The sequence below is a fragment of the Homo sapiens genome, chromosome 17, assembly GCF_000001405.40.
Source record: "Homo sapiens chromosome 17, GRCh38.p14 Primary Assembly".
Taxonomy (NCBI): domain Eukaryota; kingdom Metazoa; phylum Chordata; class Mammalia; order Primates; family Hominidae; genus Homo; species Homo sapiens.
Window position 1 is genome coordinate 77,666,147 of NC_000017.11, and position 23,511 is coordinate 77,689,657.

Here is a 23,511-nt window from a genome sequence, read left to right on the forward strand (position 1 = left end):
TCATTCATGCATTCGTTTGCTTAAAGATATGTTTTCTGAGTTTCTGCACGCACTGGGTGCTGTTCTAAGCATGGAGATCCAGCAGGGAACCGGACAGGTGTTTAGATTTTATCCTGAATGGGATGATGGGTCGCTTGGGATTTCAAGTCAAGAGCACAGCCCCTGATGCAGGGGCTGGGGCTGGGGATATAGGGGTGAGCACACCAGCCGCGCACCGAAGGGAGAAGGTCTGTGCGTGTTTATGTGTGGGTGTCATGGAGTGAATGGTTTAATTATAGCAGCACTGTGCACCGGCTTCCCATTAATAATGCAGTGAATTTCAGCAGCAGATTAAATCCTATAAAGGAGTAAATTGCCCAGGAAAGTGAAGTAACATCGTGGTTGAGGACAATCAGTACATTATAGGTCTTTGATTAGATAGAAGCCCACGGCAGCGGGCAGATGGGCTCTTAGAAACGCACACATAAGAGAAAAACAGGAAGTGCATCAATCAACTTATCAACATCGCTTAAAAGGAATGGGCTTGTGCTAAAGGTGCAAAGGCTGGGAAAGGATCGGCTGGTCCAGAAAGATTATGGCTCTCACATTAGCACCAGGGCTGGGCTGTGGCTTAGCTGCCTGTCCAGAGTTCTAGCTAATGGGTCTTTAAGAACTTTACTTCCCTGCCCACTTTCTGATAGTTAGAAAGCCCATCCATAAAGTTTCTTGCCTTGGGCAGAAAGTTTCTATCCCTATCTCAAAACAACATGTAGGGGCCCTTTAAGGCAAAAACCTTAAGCTATTTCCTGTCTTCTCTTTTGCATTCAGGAAATACTCTTTGAGCTGCTGAACACTTTAGTGTTCAGCCCCTTAACCTAAGGAGGAGCTACACAAATGAAGAACTGTGGAACTGACCTCAGATGCTCTCTCGTTGGAAATTGGCACGCAAACCACAACCACGATGGCGGCTTCTGAGAGGTGGAGGAGAGGGGTGTGGCAAAGCAGCAAGGAAGGGGGTCTGGGGTCCAGCCCAGCTGGGACAGTGAAGGTTCCCTGTTCAAGGGTAAGTAGGCCTTGATCACCTGCTTCAGGTTTGTGGCAGATGAACTGATAAAATGCAATGAAAGACAAGAAGCCAGTGTCAGCACGTAACACGCATCTTTGATGTATGATCAGGAACAAAATCATGGGCAGCCCAAGTGGCTGTTTTAACTCAGTGTGGGGACAGCTGTAAGGAGCAAAGGTGATTGTTTTATGTATTCAGCCATCGGAGAGCCTTGCTTTCAAATGCTCACTTTCTAATTAAGAAACAAAGTATCCTGTTTGATTGGCAGCCACAGTGGATGAAGTCCCCAAGAGGGAAGTAAATGCCACCTGTGATCTGGGAGAGAAAGAGAATCAAAGGACACAGAAGCTGCTGCCTCCTGCCCTTACCACAGCCATCCTGGGAACATCGTTTGTTTGTTTAGTCTTTAGATCATTCACTGGCTGATTCAGTCATTCCCTGGTTCATTATACATTCATTCATTCATTCATTCATAACTCATTCTTTGTTTCTCTCATACATCAACTAACTCACAACTTGCCTTACTCACTGTGACAGCTGACATTCATTGAGATGCTGTGTGACAGACACAGGCATTGCAGATGAATTTTGTAGTTTGTACTAAAAACTACAAACATTACTGAGAGAAAATCAAGAAGGTCTAAATAAATGAAGTGATAGACTCTAATTTTGAATTGGAAGACTTAATATCTTACTATGTCAATTCCTTTTAAATTGATTTGTAGATAAAAATGTAACCCCTATTAAAATCCTAGCAAGATTTTTTTTAAAAATTGATAAACGTATTATAAAACATTTATGGAAAGCCAAAGGGCCTACAATAACCCCAACAATCTTGACAAGAACAAATTTGGGAAACATTTTCTGATGTCAAGATTTTTTCAAGATTTGCTAATAGGTTGAGTACTTGTGTGTAGCCTGTTGCTCCACAGGAGTCCCTACAAGCTGATATGGCAGAAACAATGCTGTATGTGAAATAAAGATCAAGGCAACAGTCTTGCCCTCAGTAGGCTCCCAGGTGCGTTCACTGTTCTCTGAGCTTTCGTCTTCTCTGGCTGAATTCTAGTCCTGTAGCCAGTGCCCCATGCAGCTGCTGGGAGTACCCCCAGCGCCGTTTCCCCCACACCAGCTTATAGGGACTCCTGTGGAGCGCTTTTGTTGTCATATATTTTATCTCTACATACATTGTAAACCTCACAATACAAAATATGAATGTATAAACATATTTAAAAGTACTTCTTATTTACCCACTTATTTACCATTTATAATACTCTTCCTTCCTTTGTGTAGATCCAGATTTCCATCTCGTATTTTCCTTTTGCCCAAAGGACTTTTATTAACAGTTCTTATTGTACTGTTCTTCTGGTGATGGGTCATCTCAGTTTTTGTTTGTGTTCATTTTTAAAGGTATTTTTGCTGAGTTCAGAATGTTAAGTGGACTTTTTTTTTTTTTGAGGACTTTAAAGACCACTCCATTTTCTCTGCCTTGCATAATTTTATATGAGAAGTCTGTTGTCTTATGTTTGTCTTTTTCCCCAGCTTTCAATATTTCCTTTCTTTTTTTGCTATTTTCCAACAATATGTTTACATTGTGCTTAGTGGAGTGTTTCTTCTGTCTGGTGTTAGTCAGACCTCTCGGATCTGTGGGTTTTATAGTTTCATCAAATTTGGAACATTTTCAGCCATCATTTTTTTCAAATATTTTTCTCTCTTCCGCTCTTTCTCCTCTCCCCCTGGGACTCCAATTACATGATGGTAGAGCATGTAATATTGTCCCACAAGCAGCCACTATTGCTCGATTTATTTTTTCAGTGTTGTTTTCCTTTTGTTGTTGTTGTTGTTTTGATAATTCTTATTGCTGTTAATTTCATGGATAATTTTATCTGATGTGTCCAATCTGTTGTTAATACCATCCAATGTATCTTTATTTCAGATATTATACTTTTTATCTCTAGAAGTTTGATTTTTGACTTTTCTACATTTTTCATTTATCTTATCATGTTCATGTTTTCCTTTGCTAGCTGTTTTAACATCCTATTTGGCTAATTTTATCATCTGTGTCATTTCAGGGCCTTTTTCCCATTTCTTGATTTTTCTCCTGGTTGTGGGACATATATTCCTGATTATTTGGATGCCTTTTAATTAGATGCTAGACATTTTCATTTTACTACCTTTCATTGTATTCATTTAAATTGTTGAACCATGTTCTGGAACACTGTTAAGTTACTTGAAATCAACTTGGTTCTTTGGGGAATAATTTTTAAAGTTTTGCTAGAGTTATAAATATTTGTTCACATATATTCATTTTATAAGCCCTGAACACATCCAGAGTAGCATTTATTCTGGGGCCAGTTTGGTTTCAAACAACCCTAAGACAATGCTGAAGGGTGGAGTCATCAGAAATAATTTTATTATTTATATTATTTTACTTCATATTTGAAAGGTATTTTCACTAGATATATAATTCCAGGTTAACAATTCTTTCTTTCAGCCCTTTAAAGATGTTATTCCTTTATTTATTGGCTTCTAGTTTTTTTTGTAAGAAGTCAGTTGTGATTTTTTTTTTTTTTGAGATGAGTCTTGCTCTGTTGCCTGGGCCGGTGCAGTGGTGTAATCTCGGCTCACTGCAACCTCCACCTCCCGGATTCAAGCAATTCTCCTGCCTCAGCCTCCTGAGTAGCTGGGATTACAGGCGCATGCCACCATGCCTGGCTAATTTTTGTGTTTTTAGTAGAGATGGGGTTTCACTACGTTGGCCAGGCTGGTCTCGAACTCTTGACCTCATGATCCACCTACCTCAGCCTCCCAGAGTGCTGGGATTACAGGTGTGAGCCACAGCGCCCTGCCCAGTGATGATTCTTATTGAGTGATTTTTTTTTTCCTGTATGCAATTAATTTTTTTTGGCTGCTTTTACATTTTTCTCTTTATCTTTGGTTTTCAGAAATTTGACTCCGATATGCCTAGCAGAAGTTCCTTCGTGTTTATCCTGTTTGAAGTTTGTTGAGATTCTTGGATATGTGGATTGATATTTTAAATCAAATTTGAAATTTACAGTTACTATTTCTTCAAATATTGTTTTCTGCCCCATTTTTTTTATCCTCTCTGTTTGGGACTCCTGTTACATGTATTTTAGATTACGTAACATTGTTCCACAAATCACAGCGATTCTATTAATCTTGTTCACTCCCACTTCCCTTTGTACTTATGTTTGGAGAGTTCCTATTGGCCTGCCTTCAAGTTTACTGATGCTTTCTTTTGCAATGTATCTGCTGCTGTTAAGCCCATTCAGTGAATGTTACAATTTCAGATCTTTTATTTTTAAGTTCTACAAGTTCCATTCAGTTTATATATATATAATATATATATATATAGTGTCTATTTCTCCGTTGAGATTCCCCATCTGTTCACTTTTTACATATATATTCATTTTATTTATATATATATTTTACATATTTATTCATTTTACATATATTCATTTTATTCATATATATTCATTTTATAAGTCATGAACACATTTATAAGGGCTGTTTTAAAAATCGTGTTTGCTAATTCCCATATTTATATTATCTCTGGGTTTGTTTCTATTGACTTGGTGTTTCTCTTGGGTATTTTGTCACATTTTCCTGCTTCATATATCTAGAAATGTTTTACTATATTCCAAATATTGCTGACACATTATTGATCATTTGGATTATTTTGTCTTTATTTAAAGAGTGTTGGATTTTTTTCTGGCAGGTAGTTAATTTGCTGGTGGATCGGCTGAATCTTGTCTTGGCTTGGTTTTAAGCTTTGTTAACGTGGATCTGAAGTAGCTCTTACTCTAACGCTGTAGTAGCCCTATTCCTAAGGTGTGGACTTTTGAAATCTCCACTAAATTTTTGAATGTTCAGCAATGTCTCCCCACTTTGGCTGGTCAGAACTTCAATGTCTCCCAGCACGGTGCTGGGAGACATTGTGCTTTAGAATCTCCATTTAGCTCACAGCTCTCTAATAGTTGTTCTGTGTCAGGCCTTATGTAGTCTCCTCCTAAGCATAACCTGCTTAGTATTTGACCAAAAACTCTAGGGAACTCCATGTCAATCTTGGGACATACTTGTATGCATAGCTCTCTCTACTCTGGTACCCTGCCCTGCAAATTCCAGATTCCTCAGCAACCTTGAATTATTTTTATTTTTATTTTTTATTTTATTTATTTATTTATTTACTTATTTATTTTGAGCTGCAGTCTCACTCTGTCACCCAGGCTAGAGTGCAGTGGCACGACCTTGGCTCACTGCAACCTCCACTTCCTGGGTTCAAGCTATTCTCCTGCCTCAGCCTCCCGAGTAGCTGGGATTACAGGCAGCTGCCACCATGCCCAGCTAATTTTTTTGTATTTTTAGCAGAGATGAGGTTTCACCATGTTGGCCAGGCTGGTCTCAAACTCCTGGCCTCAAGCGATCTGCCCATCTTGGCCTGCCAAAGTGCCGGGATTACAGGTGTGAGGTACCACTCCCAGCCAGCAACCTTGCTTTCTGTTTTCTACTTTGTCCACCCAATGATAGAGCTTTCTGTTTGGGTTCTTCTTTCCCATACCTCAGTTTGGAAATGCTCCCAGGCAAAAATCCTAGGTAGAAATGGATCTTACCTTGTATGTTTTCATCCTCCCATGGATCTTAGCCTCGTGCCGTATTCTGCCCAAAGCCTGTTGTCAAAAGCCTGCCTGAAGTAAAACTGCTCCTTTACTTATTGTACCACCTCTGTAGTAGTCTGTAGCAAGGCGGTATGTCTGATGCCCATTATGCTACCACGGCAAAACTGCTAAATCTCTTTCTAGCTATGGAAATGTTACTTCTCAGAAGCCACCTCCAGCACCCCCACCCTGGCCTTATTGTACTTATCTTTATAATCTAATTGGCATCACAAGTTCATGTCTGAAACAGTCATTGACGAGGTGAGTGGAATCACCATGATTAATTTTGACTACATCAAGCTCCCGCTTGGGCTGGGGGAAGGGATTCCCCCTCCCTAAGCACATGCATGTCCAGGATCTGGGCATGATCAGGTTCCATTACTAAGGGAGAAGGGGACAATGAGTGTGGGTGGCTCAAGGGTCCTGCCTCCCTTGTCCTCTAACTTCTCAGTTTCCAGACCCCATCTCAGGAAGCCCAGCTCTGCTCTTATGTCGGTCCTCAGGAGTTTGTGTCTTCATTGTAACCTTCTGCACTGGGCTGAATTTGTCCCCTCAAAATTCATGTCCATCCAGGATCTATGAATGTGAGCTTATTTGGAAAAAGTGTCTTTGCAGGTGTAATCGGGTTAAGATGAGGGCACACTGGATTAGAGTGGCCCCGATCCAATGACTCGTCCTTATAAGAAGAGGAAAATGTGGGCACAAAAACATCCACAGAGGGAAGACAAAGCCAGACACAGGGAAGGTGGCCACGTGAAGACACAGGCAGAGGGTGGAATGAAGCACTGATAAGCCAATAAATGCCAAGGTCAGCCAGCAGCCACCAGAAGCTAGGGAAGAACATGGAGCAGATTTTTCCCTCCAAGTCTCCAGAAGGAACCAACCCTGCCACTACCTTGACTTTGGACTGCTGGGCTCCAGAACTGTAAGAGGAGACACTTCTGTTGTTTTAAGCCACCCATAGTTTGCAGTGCTTTGTTAGAGCAGTCCTAGGAGATGAATATACATTCCAATAACAGGCCATTTTGTTGAGCTGGTTTGAGCAGTTTTCTATCTCTTTGCTTAAAGCAAAGGAAAATCCTTCACCATCATGCTCCTCTTCCTCCTTCACCTTCTTTGGAAATTCCACTTCCTCCTGTCCTGTTAAGTCTGCACAATGCCCTCACCAGCCCTCCTTTTCTCTCACCAGGGACCAGCTTTTGCCCTTCACATGCCCTTGGCCCTCAGCCGCATGACCTCTATGGTTTATGTTGCAGACTCTGAGGGACATCTGTTCTGTCTTCTCCCAGTATCGGGGTCCCACTGTCAGCACCCAGAGAGTAGACAGACTGGTGTGTTACACAGTGTGTGATGGACCGGCACTGTGATGGTTAATTTTATGTCAACTTAACTGGGCTAAGGGATGCCCAGATAGCCGGGAGAATATTATTCTGGGAAGGCCTGTGAGGGTGTCTCTGGAGGAGGTTAGCATTTGAATCAGTAGTTTGGGAAGAGAAGATCCACCCCCACCCACGTGGGCAGTCATCTATCAACCCTTCGAGGGCCCAGAGAAAACACAAAAGCAGAGGAAGAGCAAACTCTGTCTCCCTCCTTGATCTGGGACATCCATCTTCTCCTGCCCTGACACTGGAGCTCCTGGTTCTCAGGAACTTCAGACTCCAGGACTTGCCCCAGCAGCACCAGGTTCTCAGGCCTTCAGCCTCAGACTAAGGGTTGTGCCACCAGTTCACCTGGATCTCAGACTTTCAGACTCAGACTGAATGACACCTCCAGCTTTCCACGTTGTCCAGCTGGCAGATGGGATATCATACGATTTCTCAGCCTCCATGATCATTGAGCCAATTCATCACCTGTATCAATATCAACATCTATATCTATATCATCTATTAATATATCTATGTCTATTTCTATACTATCCATTTCTGTCTGTCTATCCGACTGTCTATCCACCCATCCATCCATTTATCTATCTATCTATCCACTGTCTATCCATCTATTTGTCTATCTCTGTCTGTCTGTCTGTCTGTCTGTCTGTCTATCTATCTATCTATCTATCTATCTATCTATCTATCTATCTATATATCTCCTATTGATTCTGTTTCTCTGGAGAACCCTGACTAATGTGAGGCAACTATTGGGAGTGGTTTGGGGCTGCAGAAATCTGTGAATCTGAAGCCAGTCAACCAGATGGAGTCTGGAGAGGCCGAGCCCTCAGCGCCAGGGCCCTCTCCCACACTCCAGCTCCGCATTTGGAGCCAAGGCCCTTCATCTGCTAAATGCAAACCCAAAGTGAAGGGCCCCCGGGACCCAGGATTATGGACACTCAAAACTAATGCCAAATAAACAAGGCAAAATTATTTGTAATTACTCCTAAAGTCATTTACTTGTATCAGTAATTGACCTGTGCATTCTTTAATCTTTAATGCGCTTTTAAAATTCAGCCTCAGGGAGTCATCTTGCTTATTGACATTTGTCCTGGTGAGGACTCTGGAGGCATGAGGCTTTGGTTAAGATGTCTTAAAAAGAAATAACCAATTTAGGAAGCCATGACTTTCACACATCAGGGTAAGGAGGCACAGGGAGAGGGGCTGTAGCTGCCTGTGTTTTCCCTGGTCAGGACAACAATGGTAGTGACGACGATGATGATGATGGTGACGACGATGATGATGATGGTGACGACGATGATGATGATGATGGTGACGACGATGATGATGATGATGATGACGATGATGACGATGATGATGATGATGATGATGGCGGCACTAAGATTTATTGAAGAATCTGTATGACTTCAATTAATCCTCTTAAGGAAGCTTTAGAATAGGTGCTATTATGAGCTTCATTTTACTGGAGGAGACTATGGCATGGAGAAGCTACATACATTTCCTTAAGATACGCTTTGATTAGATACTGAAGGCAAACTCGACCTCACATCTGCAGAAGCCTCAAACCTTCATCCTACTGCCCCTGATAGGGTGGCCAACAACCACTGCCTTGCAAAGCGGCCGACTGAGGATGCCATACCTGCAGGTCACCTTGGGAAATTACCTGTCTCATCTGTGGTTTTCTTGTCTGCGGAATGGGCATCGTTTTTCACACGTTATTGCAGGTGGTGAGGACTACATGAGATTACACGAACGCGGCTGCTTTACAGACACAGCTCTCTTAGCTTCCTTCCATGCAAGACTGGAGCAAAGGATCTGAGCTGGGTGCAGATGGGGTTTTTCCCCCTCATCTTCTGAAGATGGAAATGTGGACAGACACTTTGCTAACTCTTTATTTTACCCCTTTGAGTGCTGCCAAAGCCAGTGTTTAGCATTGCGAAAGAAACCACACGGGGCTAGTTTGCTGCGGGAGTTATAAATCTCTCTTGGAACAGATTTGAAAACTGGTGACACAGAACAATTGCCCCTGGGGTCAGCAGCTGGGCCATTTGGGGGCCAGACACCACCTTTAGGATTCCCGGTGACGCCTCCCCTCCCATCCTGGTTCCAGGTTCTGCCACCAAGGGCAGGAGAATGCTGAGGAGCATTTCTGGAACCTCTAGACTTCCGACTCCCCCGCTCTGAAGGTGCACTTTGAGGAGGGCTGGACAGTGGAGGCTCCACCTAAGTGGTCCTCTGAGGCCTGAGGTCGGGTGAATTCTGGAGTCTCCAGACCTTACCCAAGAGCCCCTGTCTGTCCTCTTTCCCCATTAGTGTCCCCAGCGGGCCTTCCTGTCCACTGCCGCGGCTCCGTGGAGACCCACCCGGCCATCTCCAACCACATTGCTCCTGCTCCAACCCCAAAGCCCAAGCCCTCCTCCCCTCCCAGCCATGGGTGCTGACACCCCCACACTGTTCCTTCTAGCCTGAACCCTGGCACTTGCCTTTCTTTGGGGCCTCAGCTCTAATCAGGTGCAAGCTTTGCTAATCCTTCCTATGAGTGACCTCTTGTGCTCCTCCTCCCTCCTTCCTCCCTCCTCCATCTGAGATTCTGCATCAGCTCCATCCTAATCTCTAACTGGCCTCTGGATGAAGGAGCCCAGGTGAGCCCCTCCATTTGCTGACCTCCCCCTCCCCGCTGTGGGCCCTGCAACCTCCTTGAGCTGGTCCCCACCCACCCACATCTTCTTCTTCACACTCCCCAGCACTCAGCACACCCCAGCCAAAGCCACGTTGTCACTAAGCCAGACCATGTCACACCCAGCCCAGGCTCCTGCCTTTTGGGTGTAATTTCACAGTTGACATCCTCTGCTTTATTTCGAGCCGAGCTGAGCTTTATTTCGAGCTGAGCTGCCCCTTCAGCTCTCAGCCAGTTTCCTGCATTTGCAGCCCTGGCTTCTGGGTACCTCACCAACCTGCCACACTCCCTGGGCCGTCCGCAAGAACCCAGCCCCGTGCCCCCTTCCTGGAATTCCTCAGGAGCATGGAGTCTGTTTCACATCGGCCACTTTCTGGCGTGTCTTAGACCAGCCGCCTGATTCCCTTTCCCGGACGGCGAGCGCCAGGAATGTGCCATCCGCATTCCACTTTATCTTGTATCTCCCTGGGCTCCCAGCCCCGCGCCGGGCGAAGAGCCGGCACTCAATCAACGCCTGCCTAATGAATTGGCTGAATAAATTAATTTGGGGTTCATTTTCCCGGCCCCCTGCTTGGATGGGGAGGCTGCCTCCCTGACCTGTGGGGTGAGGCCCCTGAGGGCGGGACAGGACTGTGCACTGCCTAGTACATTAAACCGGGTCTCAGATTCCATTAAATCGAGGGGGAGGGAGTGCCTGCCGAGGAGGCTCACCCCAGAGGCCCTGCACGCGGCTCGGGCTGTTTAAGGAGGTTAAAACGAGAGGAGAAGGCTCTACAGCTAATTGTCCTTGTGCGTTAATCACAGTGTGCTGCGGGGGCGCCTGTTAGAATGTGTTAATTTGGTAATTACCGAGGAGGGGGAGGCTGCTCTGTAACCCTCGGCCTTTGTCATTATTTTTTAACTGAAATATGAAATGGAAATGGAAAGAGTGAGAAATTCCAGCCAGGATTTAAACCCAGATAGTGGAAATTCCCATCAGTTCACGTCCTCCTCTGCCGCTGCTGGAATGCCCCACGCAGGTGTCTCGTCTTCGTTTCTGCCCAGCCTAGATGTCTTTGCCCCCTTTTGAGCTTCCGGGTCCCAACACTGAGAGGGGCTCTGTCACCTTCTGTTTCTTGGAGAGACAGGAATGGCGGCCACACTTTATGACAGATATCATAATAGCCCAAAGATTCCAGACCCCGGGGCTCAAGCCCTCCTCCTTGCAGGTCTGGCCTGTATCCCCCACGGCCTTCGTTAATGGGCTGGGGGCTCCCCACTCCCCCAGATGGAATCTTCTCATCTCCCTGCTCAGGCAAGGCTTCTTTTTGCCTGTTGCACTAACTATGGTCCTTGATTTCATCTCTCTCCTCCCTGTTTCCCCACCCCAATCACAGCTCAGATACCAAGTATGCTGGGAACAACCAAGACCCAGGGGGCCGCTTGCTGCTAGCTTATTGTTTGCGGAGTCTTAAATGTGCATAACAGCTGTGCACAGTGTTGCAGAGCCATGCACGAAGCGGACATTGCAACCAACCAGGACTGGGAATTCCATCTTCTCTGCTTTCAAGAGCTCAGGCCTGATTGGTGGTCCTACCTCCCAACTATCTCTGGAATCTCTGCTTTTCTCCTAATTCCATTGCTGCAAAGAGTCTAGATGAAGACTTTGAACTTTTGCCTGGACACCTCCAGTATCCTGATGAAGTCGTTCCCTTCAGCCAGGCTCTGTTTCCTCTGAGCCTGGGTGGAAACAAACAGAGCCTGGTCACCCAAGGACATGAGTATTGGGAACACGGACTCGGATGAAAATCCCAAAAAAAGCCAAAGTCCTCCCAGCGGCCCTCATCCTCAGTGATCAGGCCCCGTTGCTGCTCGGACCTCTCTCTCTCTGCTCCGGCCCCGCTGCCTGCTCTGCTGCACTGGGCTTGTGGGGCTGGGGTGGCTCTGGACACTGGGATATTTTTATTTAACTCCCAAGGCAATTCTAACGTGCAGCCGGGTGGACAGCCAGGATCTCCAGGAGAAGTTCACGTCCTTCTCTGCCGCATCTCTAACCCGGCCTGGGTCTATGGCCCCGGCTCCTCTCCCTCCCCTCCCCATCTTCTTCTCTCCTCCCAGCCCCCCACGCTTAAATCACATCAAACCTCAGCCCGTTCTCTTTTCACCCCTCTGTGCCTTTGCACTTGCAATCGTTCCTGCAGAAAAGAACCTCTGTTAATGTTTTGGGATTTCCTCCAGTCTGGGCAGCCTCCCGTCATCTCCTCAGTGGACACGTATCGACCCCTTCTCGTTCACTGTCTTACTTCATCTTTCAGCTCCACAGAGCAGACTGTGTTTATCTCTAATAGTCCTCGTTCTGCTGCATTTTAATCATTTGTTTACCGGCTCTAAATGTGGAAATACAGGGGCTTTGGTGCCAGCAGACCTGGGTTGGAAGGCTAAGTTCCGCCACTTATATTCTGTGGCTTTGCGTAAGTCACAAAACAGCTCTGAGCCTCAGTTTCCTCATCTGTAAACCACAAGCCTTCACTCAACCCATTTTTTATTGAGCACCTACTAAGTACCATGCAGGTCAGACCCATCTTCTCATTTAACCTTTGCAGCACCCCTGTGAGCTAACACATGGCATTTATGAATCCAAGCTGGGGAGGGGACCAGCTCCAGCCTGGCTGGCCATAGACCTTGGCCAAATTGCTCAGGACCACCCCACCCCGCCTGCCAACTGCTGTCCCCAACCCTGGATGTCCCATGTTTGTCTCTGGTTCTGTGGGTGAGACACCCACTCCATGGGGATGTTGTGAGGGTCGTGTTCAATGTAGGCATGTGTGACTTAACACTGGGAAATGTTCTGAGACATTTTTCATTGTGTGGACATCACAGAGGGTACCTACACAAACCCAGGTGGTACAGCCTGTGGTATATGGTGTATGCCTGTGGACCCAGGCTACAAACCTGTACAGCACGTTAGTGTACTGCAGTACTGAATGCTGCAGGCAATTGGAACATGGTAGTAGGTATTCATGTTTCTTTTCTTTTCTTTTTCCTTTTTTTTTTCTTTTTTTTGAGATGGAGTCTTGCTCTGTCGCCCAGGCTGGAGTGCAGTGGCACAATCTCGGCTCACTGCGACCTCCACCTCCCAGGTTCAAGCAATTCTCCTGCCTCAGCCCCCCAAGTAACTGGGACTACAGGCGTCAGCCACCACACCCAGTTACTTTTTGTATTTTTAGTAGAGACTGGATTTCACCATGTTGGCCAGGATGGTCTCGATCTCTTGACCTCGTGATCCACCTTCATCGGCCTCCCAAAGTGCTGGGATTACAGGCGTGGGCCACCATGCCTGGTATTCATGTTTCTAAACACATCTAAACATAGAAAAGGTTGGGTCAAAATACAGTATTATAATCTTATGGAGCCACCATCATCAATGCGGTCTGTGCTGACGCAAATGTTGTTACATGGTGCATGACAGTAGCACCTGCCGAGCACTGAGAACAAGGAAGCCCTCAGTGCACGTTAGCTGTCATTGTCATCACTGTCTTCTCATCACCTGCCAGGTGGAGAAATGGCTCTTACACCTTCAGTCTTGTAGGATTGTTCAGAAGATTAAATGAGATAATAGAGTAAACTGCAGCATACAATAAATTTCTTAATAAATGTCCCTTTCCTTCCTTCCTTTTCCCCTGACCCCACTACCTCCTTTAGGGACTCTGTTCCTTGGACAATGATTGCTTCCTTTATGCTCTGGAGTCCAGCAGAGACTGACACACAGTTGGGGCTAAACACGTCTGAGGGTGATGAAACTCCCATTTCTGACGCCGTCAACTTGTTTTCTGTAATGTTAGCCCTGCCATATTCCAGCTCGACAGAGCTTGGGCAGCCCGAGGTGGTGACTGTATTTGGCCATCAGCCATGTCCCTTGCAGGGCCAGTCTCTGAGGTGCCATGAGACCTTCTGTGCCTGGCAAGCCGGGGCACTTCGGAGAATGGCAGCTGCCTGGTTTCTCAGGGGAGCAACTACATTCCTAAGTCGCTTGGGGATCGCTTGACTTCCCTCATTCATTCACCCATCCTTCCATCCATCTATTCCTTCATCCAGCAAATTGGACCCCTTCCGTGTGCCAGACACTGTTCTGAGCAGAAGCACCTGCCCTTGAGGAAGTGACACTCCAGTGGGGAGAGACAAGTAAGCTCACAAAGATCTATCTGCAAAATCAAATTCCAGGTAGTGATCAGTGCCACGAACAAAAATAAAAATGAATAAAGAGATGTAAAATGATTTCCTTCCCCAAGGGCAGAGGATTCTTTCTAGCAGGTTATTTGGAAAAGTTCCCTCTGAAGAGGTGACATTTGATCATTGTTAAAGTCACATGCATCATTGTGAACATTTCACAAAACACAGAAGAACCTAATGCTTTCGCACAAACCATCATCTAGAAATCACACCATCTCAACATCTTGTCGTTTAAAAATTGATATATAATAATGGTACATATTTCTGGGGTCCCTGTGATATTTTGATACATGCAGACAATGTGTAATGATCAAATCAGGGTAATTAGGCTATCCATCACTTCAAACATGTATCATTTCTTTGCCAATGCCTTGTCTTTTGTCGTCTTAAAGTACAGATTTGCATCATGCTTTTTAAAATTTAACATTACACTATAATTATTTTGTAGCTGTGTTTATGTTTTTCTGTTTTCAAGTATCAATATATAGTATGGATTTTTAAAAAATTGGTACTGTAAATGTACATGAAGTTTTTCTGTCTTTACAAAAGAAGTGCATATTGTTGTATGAATTCTAGAAAATCAAGATAAGGAAGAAAATTAAAATCCTTCATAATCCTACTCATTGAGCATACTGGTCTATGTCTTTCCCATTTTTTCCTTCCTTATAAACATGGAAAGACATCATACCTAGAGCATGTTCAGTTTGTGTCTGGCTTTTTCATAATCATACTTTAAAACTGGAAAGCTGGTGTGTGCAAGTGGCAGGGGGAGCTTACCTCACAGGACACAGCAGCAGAACCCATGGGCTTTGGCCCACTCTGCCCCTGACTTTAATGTTGCCAAGTCATTTAATCTCTGAGTCCCGGGTTTCCCGTGTGCAAGAGGGAGTCATAAGTCCTCTCTGGACCTCAGGCCTGGGCTAAGAACCAGAGGGCAGAGAGTGGCCCTACAAGGTCTCAAGGAGGAGGGATGCCTCTCTGTGACCTTGCCCTAGTGTGAACATGCAGAGTTGACTTGGGAAAGATTCCAAGCACCTGGGGATGGGGTCATATGAAGCTCTTCCAAGACACAGTGGCTCACGCCTGTAATCCCAGCACTTTGGGAGGCCGAGGCAGGCAGATCACCTGAGGCCAGGAGTTCGAGACCAGCCTGGCCAACATGGTGAAACCCCATCTCTACTAAAAATACAAACATTAGCCAGGCATGGTGGCAGGCACCTGTAATCCCAGCTATTCGGGAGGCTGAGGCAGGAGAATCGCTTGAACCCAGGAGGCAGAAGTTGCAGTGAGCTGAGATCACACCATTGCATTCCAGCCTGGGCAACAAGAGCAAGACTCCACCTCAAAAAAAACCCAAAACAAACAAACAAAACACATGTATTGAATCTTCGCTTTACATTTTCCTTCTTTTCTTCTCTTTTTTTTTTTTTTTGAGTCTCGCTTTGTCACCCAGCCTGGAGTGCAGTGGCGCAATCTCGGCTCGCTGCAACCTCTGCCTCCCAGGTTCAAGCAATTGTCTTGCCTCAGCCTCCCAAGTAGCTGGGATTACAGGCACACACCACCAGGCCCGGCTAATTTTTGTACTTTTTAGTATGGATGGGGTTTCACCATGTTGGCCAGGTTGGTCTCGAACTCCTGACCTTGTGATCTGCCTGCCTTGGCTTCCCAAAGGGTTGGGATTACAGGCATGAGCCACCGTGCCCAGCCCTACATGTTCTTCTTTAACCCTTGCAGCATCTCTTTGAAGTTGGCATTACTCAGCCCATGGGACAGATGAGGAAACCACCTCAGCCAGCCTAGGAAACCTGTCCTGAGTCCCACAGTTCAGGAGCGATGTGGGGATTTGCACCAGGATCCACATGGCCCGAGGCCATGCTCTGAACTGTTCAGCTGTAGAGGATAAACTGTCCTGGCGTCTCTATGAAGCGGTGCAGTGGGCAAGCTGCCCAGAGCGTCCTGGGAAGAGCACATTTTGTTTGCTGTGAAACTACTCAAGTTAAATTGTGAGAGAGAATCCACTAAATGAGTCCTAACATTTCCTTCTCTCCGAGTTGACACTGGGCCCTCCTGGAAACAGAATTCAATGCCAGAAAGCTGTCAGCCAGAACGATGCATCGGTTCCCCTCAGTCCCCCTCCGCTTAACCCATGTATGCCTGAGGTTGCAATTTTTTGAATTTTTGCAATCAGACCTTGGTGCTGACCTTGAGCAGTAGGCTGTAAATAACTCCCCCATGCTTAGCGTTCCAATAATGGAACAGTAGGCATAAACAGACCCAGGGACTGACACATGTAGCCGGGGACTGAGAAGCCCTGATTGAGACAGGGAGCGCATGTCTCTGATGAACCCGAGCTTATTCATTTAGAAAAAAATTAGAGGCTGGGCATGATGGCTCACGCCTCTAATCCCAGCACTTTGGGAGGCCAAGGCTGGCAGATCACGAGGTCAGGAGATCGAGACCATCCTGGCTAACATAGGGAAACCCCATCTCTACTAAAAATACAAAAAATTAGCCAGGTGCGGTGGCGGGCGCCTGTAGTCCCAGCTACTCAGGAGGCTGAGGCATGAGAATGGCGTGAACCCGGGAGGCGGAGCTTGCAGTGAGTGGAGATCGCGCCACTGCACTCCAGCCTGGGAGACAGAGCAAGACTCCGTCTCAAAAAAAAAAAAAAAAAAGAAGAAAAAAATTAGAAATATTTTCTTAATGAAAAAGTAACATTTTCAAAATATAACAAATAAATTAGTGACAAAAAATGATTTAAGAGTACCTCTCCCTCTCGCCCCAGGCCCCCAAGTCCTCCTTCTCAGAAGCAACTGTTGAGAATTTCTAGTGTATCCTTCCAGAAGTTCCTTGTGTACATGTGCTCATATATGTTTGTGTATCTTTATACACCACTCTGCATCCTTTGCAAATAACCTGTCTGATCTCTTTTAATATCAGCGCATTTGCATCTGCCTCAGTCGTTTTATTGGTTGCATTATTCCACTGCCTTGATTAGGCCCTGGTTTAATCTTTTTTTTTGTTTTTTTTTTGAGGCGGAGTCTTGCTCTGTCACCCAGGCTGGAGTGCAGTGGCGTGATCTCAGCTCACTGCAACCTCTGCCTCCCGGGTTCAAGTGATTCTCCTGCCTCAGCCTCCAGAGTAGCTGGGACTACAGGTGTGGGCCACCATGCCTGGTTAATTTTTGTGTGTGTGTGTGTATTTTTAGAAGAGATGAAGTTTTGCCATGTTGACCAGGCTGGTCTCAAACTCCTGACCTCAGACAATCCGCCCACCTTGGCCTCCCAAATTGCTGGGATTGTAGACGTGAGCCACTGTGCCTGGCCTGGCCCTGGTTCATCCAACGAGCCCCATGCTGATGGGAGTTTTGGGGGCATTTTACAGTGCTCTACTCTTTACAGATGCTGCTGCAATAAACATTCCCGCACAGGCATCTTTGGACCCTGGTATGGTTTGGATCTGCGCCCCCACCCAAATCTCATGTTGAATTGTAATCCCCAATGTTGGAGGTGGGTCCTGGTGGGAGGTGATTGGATCATGGGGGTGGTTTCTCCTGGTTTAGTACCACCCCCTGGTGCTGTCATTGCGATAGTGAGTTCTCGTAAGATCTGGTTGTTTTAAAAGTGTGTAAACTGCCCCGTCCTCCCGACCCTGTCTCTCTCTTGCTCCTACTCTGGCCAGGTAAGACGTGCCTGCTTGTCCTTACCCTTCTGCCATTAGTTTAAGTTTCCTGAGGCCCCCGAAGAAGGCAAGCGGATGCCAGCATTATGCTTCCCAAATAGCCTGCAGAACCGTGAGCCAATTAAAACTCTATAAATTACCCAGTCTCAGGTATTTCTTTACAGCAGGGAGAGAACAGACTAATACAAACTCATATCCAAATATACCTAAAAGCCACAGCAGATTTTATTAGTGCTCTGCAAGTCCTAACAAATGTGGAGTCTCGCTCTATCACCCAAGCTGGAGTGCAGTAGCATGATCTCTGCTCACTGCAACCTCCACCTTCCGGGTTCAAGCAATTCTCTGCCTCAGCTTCCTGAGTACCTGAGATTACAGGTGCCGGTCCACCACGTCCAGCTAAATTTTGTATTTTTAGTAGAGACAGGGTTTCACTTGTCCGGGTTGGTCTTGAACTCCTGACCTCATGATCCACCTGCCTCGGCTTCCCAAAGTGCTGGGATTACAGGCTTGAGCCACTGGGCCCAGTTGACAATAGAATCCTCTATGTAGAATATCCAGTAGACTCAACTGACAAATTATTAGAACTAGTAGGAGAATTCAGCAAGATGACTAGATAGAAGCTCAACATAAACAGAATCAATTGTTTTCACACACTCCAGCAATAACTAATCAGAAAATGTAATAGGAAAGAAAAAGAAGTGAAATTTCGGGGCCAAAATGTCCTCTAAAGCAGTGGTTCTCGAACTTCAGCCTATATCAGAATTACCTGGAGGGCTTGTTAGAATGCATATTCCTGGGCCCCACCTGCAGTTTCCAACCAGCAGGTCCTGACTGGTGCCTGGGAATCTGTATTTTTTTCAAGCTCTGGGTGAGGCTGATGCTGCTGGTCTTTAAACCCTGCTTTGAGTAGCAAGGATCTAAAGATATTATTCCTGTTTCCACTGCGCCTATTCCCAAAAAGCCTTTGCTGTTTTCCCAGTTGGATGGGTGAAAAATCTTATTTTGTGGTTGTAATTTGCATTTCTTTAATTATGAATGAGGCTGAGGCTCTGCCCACATGCTTGGCCTTGGCCTTGATTTTCATACCACCAGATGTTAAAGGGACAGCTATGGGTTGAGGTGAACTCACATGACCAGATGGCAGCGCCATCCCCCATTGGATTCTGCCCACCTCTGCAGCTATGAATTCCCATTTATAGTGAGAAGAGACCTTGAAGGCCCCACAGGACAGTCCCTGCCTCCAGGAAGACTCTGTTCCATCCATCCAACCGGGAGCCGGGAGCCAGTACTCACAGCCCACGTAAGAGCATTTTCCAACATTGAACTACCTTTTTGGTGGAAAGAGCAAAGAATTTGAAAGCAGAAAACCTACTATCTCAAGCCACAACTTCACTAAAAATGCAAAGTGACGCCAGATGGGCAAGTAAGTTGAATTGCAGCAGTGCTAGCATCTCAGGCAAGGGCTTTATTACGTATTTAAAGCAATGCTTTGACACTCGGGAAATAGCAAGATGGATCGGAGGAAGCTAGAGAGCCGCCCTGTGTGAGGTGAGCGTTTTCATGCCATTTAAATTGCGCAATTTTAGCAATGCATCCTGGCATGTTTGTTAATAAAGACACAGAGCCGAGGCAACACATAGTGTTTTTGTTTCAGCCCATTGTCTATCTCCAGAGAAATGTTATTGGAATCATATTGCATTTTCAGGTCCGATGAAGCTGCAGTAATATAAGCATTTTATGCAAATGTGTTGTGGTGGAAAGAATGGCATGTCATGTGCCATAAATCTTAAGGTAACCGCAGCCCTTGTTACTCCTCAGTTTTAACACATCCTGATAGGAGGCAATTATTTCGGACCAACAAACTGCCTTTCATAGAAGTTTGTCTCTGCTTGAAGCTAGAGCCTGTTTACTAGTATAGATTTATGAGGTCTGATGACAGGCCAGCCCAGGTGGCCATGAGCATGGCCATGGAAGGAGATGAAGGCTTGCCCATTCACCATTCACATATGCATCCCTCTCTCCCTCCATCCCTTCATCCCTCCATCCATCACTCCATGCCTCCACCTCTCCATCCTTCTATCCCTCCATTCACCCATCTATCTGTGCATACATTCTTCCATCCATGAATCCCTCTATGCTTCCTCCATCTATCCATCCATCCCTCTATTCCTCCTTCTGTCGCCCCATCCATCCACTCTCCATCTCTCTATTCCTCCATTCACCCATCTATCTGTCCATACATTCTTGCATTCATACAGCCCTCCAACCCTTCCTCCATCTATCCATCCATCCCTTCATCTGTCGCCCCATCCCTCCACCTCTCCATCCTTCTATCCCTCCATTCACCCATCTATCTGTCCATACATTCTTCCATCCATGCATCCCTCTATGCTTCCTCCATCTATCCATCCATCCCTCTATTCCTCCATCCGTTGCCCTATCCCTCCACCTATCCATCACTTTATCCCTTCATTCACCCATCTATCTGCCCATATGTTCTTCCATCCATGCATCCCTCCATCCCTTCCTCCATCTATCTATCCCATCCATCCATCCATCCATCCATCCATCCATCCATCCACACATTCTTCTCTCCTTCCATCTACCTATCTATTCTTCCACCCATCCCTCCATCCACCCATCTCTTTGTCCTTCTGGGAGTTAGAATCAAGTCATGGAAAAAAGGGCTCTGGCCTAAAGCTCCAGTGCTAGAGCAGCTGAGATAGAGTCTTAGCTCTTTCACTTACCACCTGGGTGATTTGGGGCAGAGGTCTTAACCCCCCTCAGTTTCAGTTTCCTCATCAGCAGTTGTCAGAATCAAAACGGAGTCCACGCTCACAAATAAACCTGGAGAAGACCATAAAGAGAGGGTTATTATGCATAAATGCCTGATAACAAAAACTGTCCAAAAGACTCTGCAAAATACACAACCTTGTACAAAGGTCATCACAACCTTACACAAAAGATACCTTCTGCATGACACCTGCTCAGAAATCGCCTGTCCGCTCTGGCATCACCCTTGTTATTGGTCCTTGTAGCTAAGGGTAATCATTTCAGAACAATTATTTAATCCTCCTTATTTTATTTTATTTTCCCTTTAATACTCTTTGCCTTGCTTTACCTCCCTCACATGTACATTGTTTACTACAGCACGCGTCTTCCCATTGCGATGCCCTATTCATGAATGAGTATCTTTTTCTTCTAGGGAGCTGCTCTCTGTGTGTTATTTACGTTGATGGCATAATAGAGATGACAATGGCTCTTGGGAGGATCAAGTGGGGCAATGCATGTCAAATGCCTAGCACAGTGCTTAGCGTTCTTCTTTCTCTGTACGCTTACCCATTATAACGTTTGTTCCGCAATTTAACAACAACAAAGCCACTGGGTACCCACTCCTTAGAAGGCCCAGATGAAAAGAACAGACTGAGAGTAGGGGCAGGAGTGGAACATGCTTGGGGTGTGGGGATGCCCTGCAGATTGGAAAGGGCTCTGCAGGCTCTCGGAACAGGGTCTGTCTCTGTGCTGTGTCTGTGGCCTTCTCCGTACATTGCCCACAAAGAGTTTGCAGCGATCTTTCAAGGGACCAGTCACTCTCCAGGTCTCCTCTGTTCTACCCACCAGCATCCTTCACTTGGAGATCTGAGACACCTTCCCGGAGTGTGGAAAAAGAGAAACCACCACTCCAAGTCTGTCTTCTGGTTTGACCTGGGGCCAGGGCCTTAACCTCTCTCAGTTTCAGTTTATTTTGTTTGTTTTGAGATGGAGTCTCGCTCTGTTGCCCAGACTAGAGATTGTGCAATGGCACAATCTCAGCTCACTGCAACCTCTGCCTTCCTGGTTCAAGCGATTCTCCTGCCTCAGCCTCCCTAGTAGCTGAGATTACAGGTATGCGCCACCATGCCTGCTAATTTGTTTATTTTTAGTAGAGACGGGGTTTCCCCATGTTGACCAGTCTGGTCTCATACTCCTGGCCTCAAGTGATCCACCCGCCTGGGCCTCCCAAAGTGTTGGGATTATAGGCACAGCTTCCCTAGGGATTTTTCACCCCACCTAGAGATATTTATTGGCCGCTTCATATATGAAGGCAGCAGGGATAACTCAGAGGTAGACAAGACCAACCCCTCCCTGCCAGGAGCCAGCAGTCCCACGGGAATGGAAGAAGTGGCCCAGGTGACTGTGACCTCTCAGGTGTTTGCGGCGTGCTGGAGAGGTGGTCGGGGGAGTGGAGCCTTGAAGGAAAGATTGGTTTTGCTTTCTCCTCCCATGACGAAGCAGAGATGCCTGGCGTTCCATGGGCGTGGTCCCGCCCTGACCTTGTTCCACGTCCCCCTCCGGCTCCACCATCAAAATCAAGGACTGTGGATATTTCACATAAATGGGATCAGGCCACATGTGGCCTTTATACCTGGGCTTCCTTCACTGAGCGTGTTTTCAAGGTCCACTGGTGTCGTCGCGTGTGGCCATCGTGTGGATTCGTCACATTGGGTTTATCCATTCATCAGTTGGGTTCCTTCAACCTTTTGGCTATTTCGAATAGTTGCCATCACTGTTTCTTAAAATGTGACTGATGCTTTGTTGTCTGACTTCTCTGCTGGAACGGAAGTCTTCAGGGGGCTGGGGGTGGGAGGGGTTGGTTTTATTGCTGTCATATCCCTCAGGCTCATAGGTTGTAACAGGGAGCCCCCAGGGGATGCAGGTGGGCCGGTGAGAGGAGACACCCCCATCGTCATTGCAGAATGATCTCCTGCCCAGCACACCCCCTGCCGATCCTCCAGCAGCCCCATGCTAAGGAAATAACAGCCTCCCTACCCACCTCCCCCAGCCTTCCCCTCTGCTCTCTGCTCCCTAGAGTTCCTGGAATAAAGTCAAAGGAGACAGGAACAGGGCAGGTATCCACCTGCTCACTCTCTCCAATCAACTCTTTAGGGGCTTTTGCTATCAATGCAGCCCTGGAAGGGTATAGATCAATTCCCCTCACCTTTCCACCCTCCCACCCACCCATCCACCCACAGAAATCATTGCAGCTGGAAAACTGTTGGATGTGGAGAGTAAATCTGCAAATCTGAGTGATATGGACAAAAAGGCATTTGAAGTTCTTAGGAGGGGAATCGTGTAGCCTTGAGAGGCGTGAGGTAAAAATGGCTGTGGCTTGGACCCCGTTCCATGTGAGGAAGCCAGGGATCTTTTCTTTAGAAGTCTTGCTAATGTGGTATTTAAAAAAAAAAAATCAATGCCACATTGCCACGAATGGACGCATCTATTCCAGGTAGAGAAGGCTGTTGTCTGGGAAGCATACAGCAGCTATTATAAACACTGAAAGTCAGTTGTTTAGCCCCCATTCATGGGCACTCTCTGAGGACCAGGCACATGGGGCTTCTGAGAGCATAAGGGAGCTCTCCATTTAGGAGGAACCAGGTGATGAGCAAACAGGATCCATTGAGGCTCTGAGATAGACGCTTCCACCTGGCGTCCAACCCATCCCAAGAACTCTGATGAGCAAGTGCTTCCCATTTTGCAGAAAAGGAGACTGAGATTCAGAGTGGAGAAGTGAGCACCAAGCTCATTCAGCCCATTTTACAGACAAGGAGACTGACATTCAGAGTGGAGAAGTGAGCACCAAGCTCATTCAGCCCATTTTACAGACAAGGAGACTGACATTCAGAGTGGAGAAGTGAGCACCAAGCTCATTCAGCCCATTTTACAGACAAGGAGACTGACATTCAGAGTGGAGAAGTGAGCACCAAGCTCATTCAGCCCATTTTACAGACAAGGAGACTGACATTCAGAGTGGAGAAGTGAGTGCTCAGCCCACTCAGGTCTCCAGGGCCAGAGCAGCCAGAA

General features: G+C 46.4%; 1 long non-coding RNA gene across 1 annotated transcript; it reads left to right on the forward strand.

The window, feature by feature from the left end:
- The first annotated feature begins 831 nt into the window (after positions 1 to 831).
- On the forward strand, positions 832 to 14,608 carry LOC107985079 (uncharacterized). The gene is made up of 2 exons (XR_001753032.2): positions 832 to 1,042; positions 11,157 to 14,608. It is a non-coding gene; the product is annotated as an uncharacterized LOC107985079 (long non-coding RNA).
- The last annotated feature ends 8,903 nt before the right edge of the window (positions 14,609 to 23,511 follow it).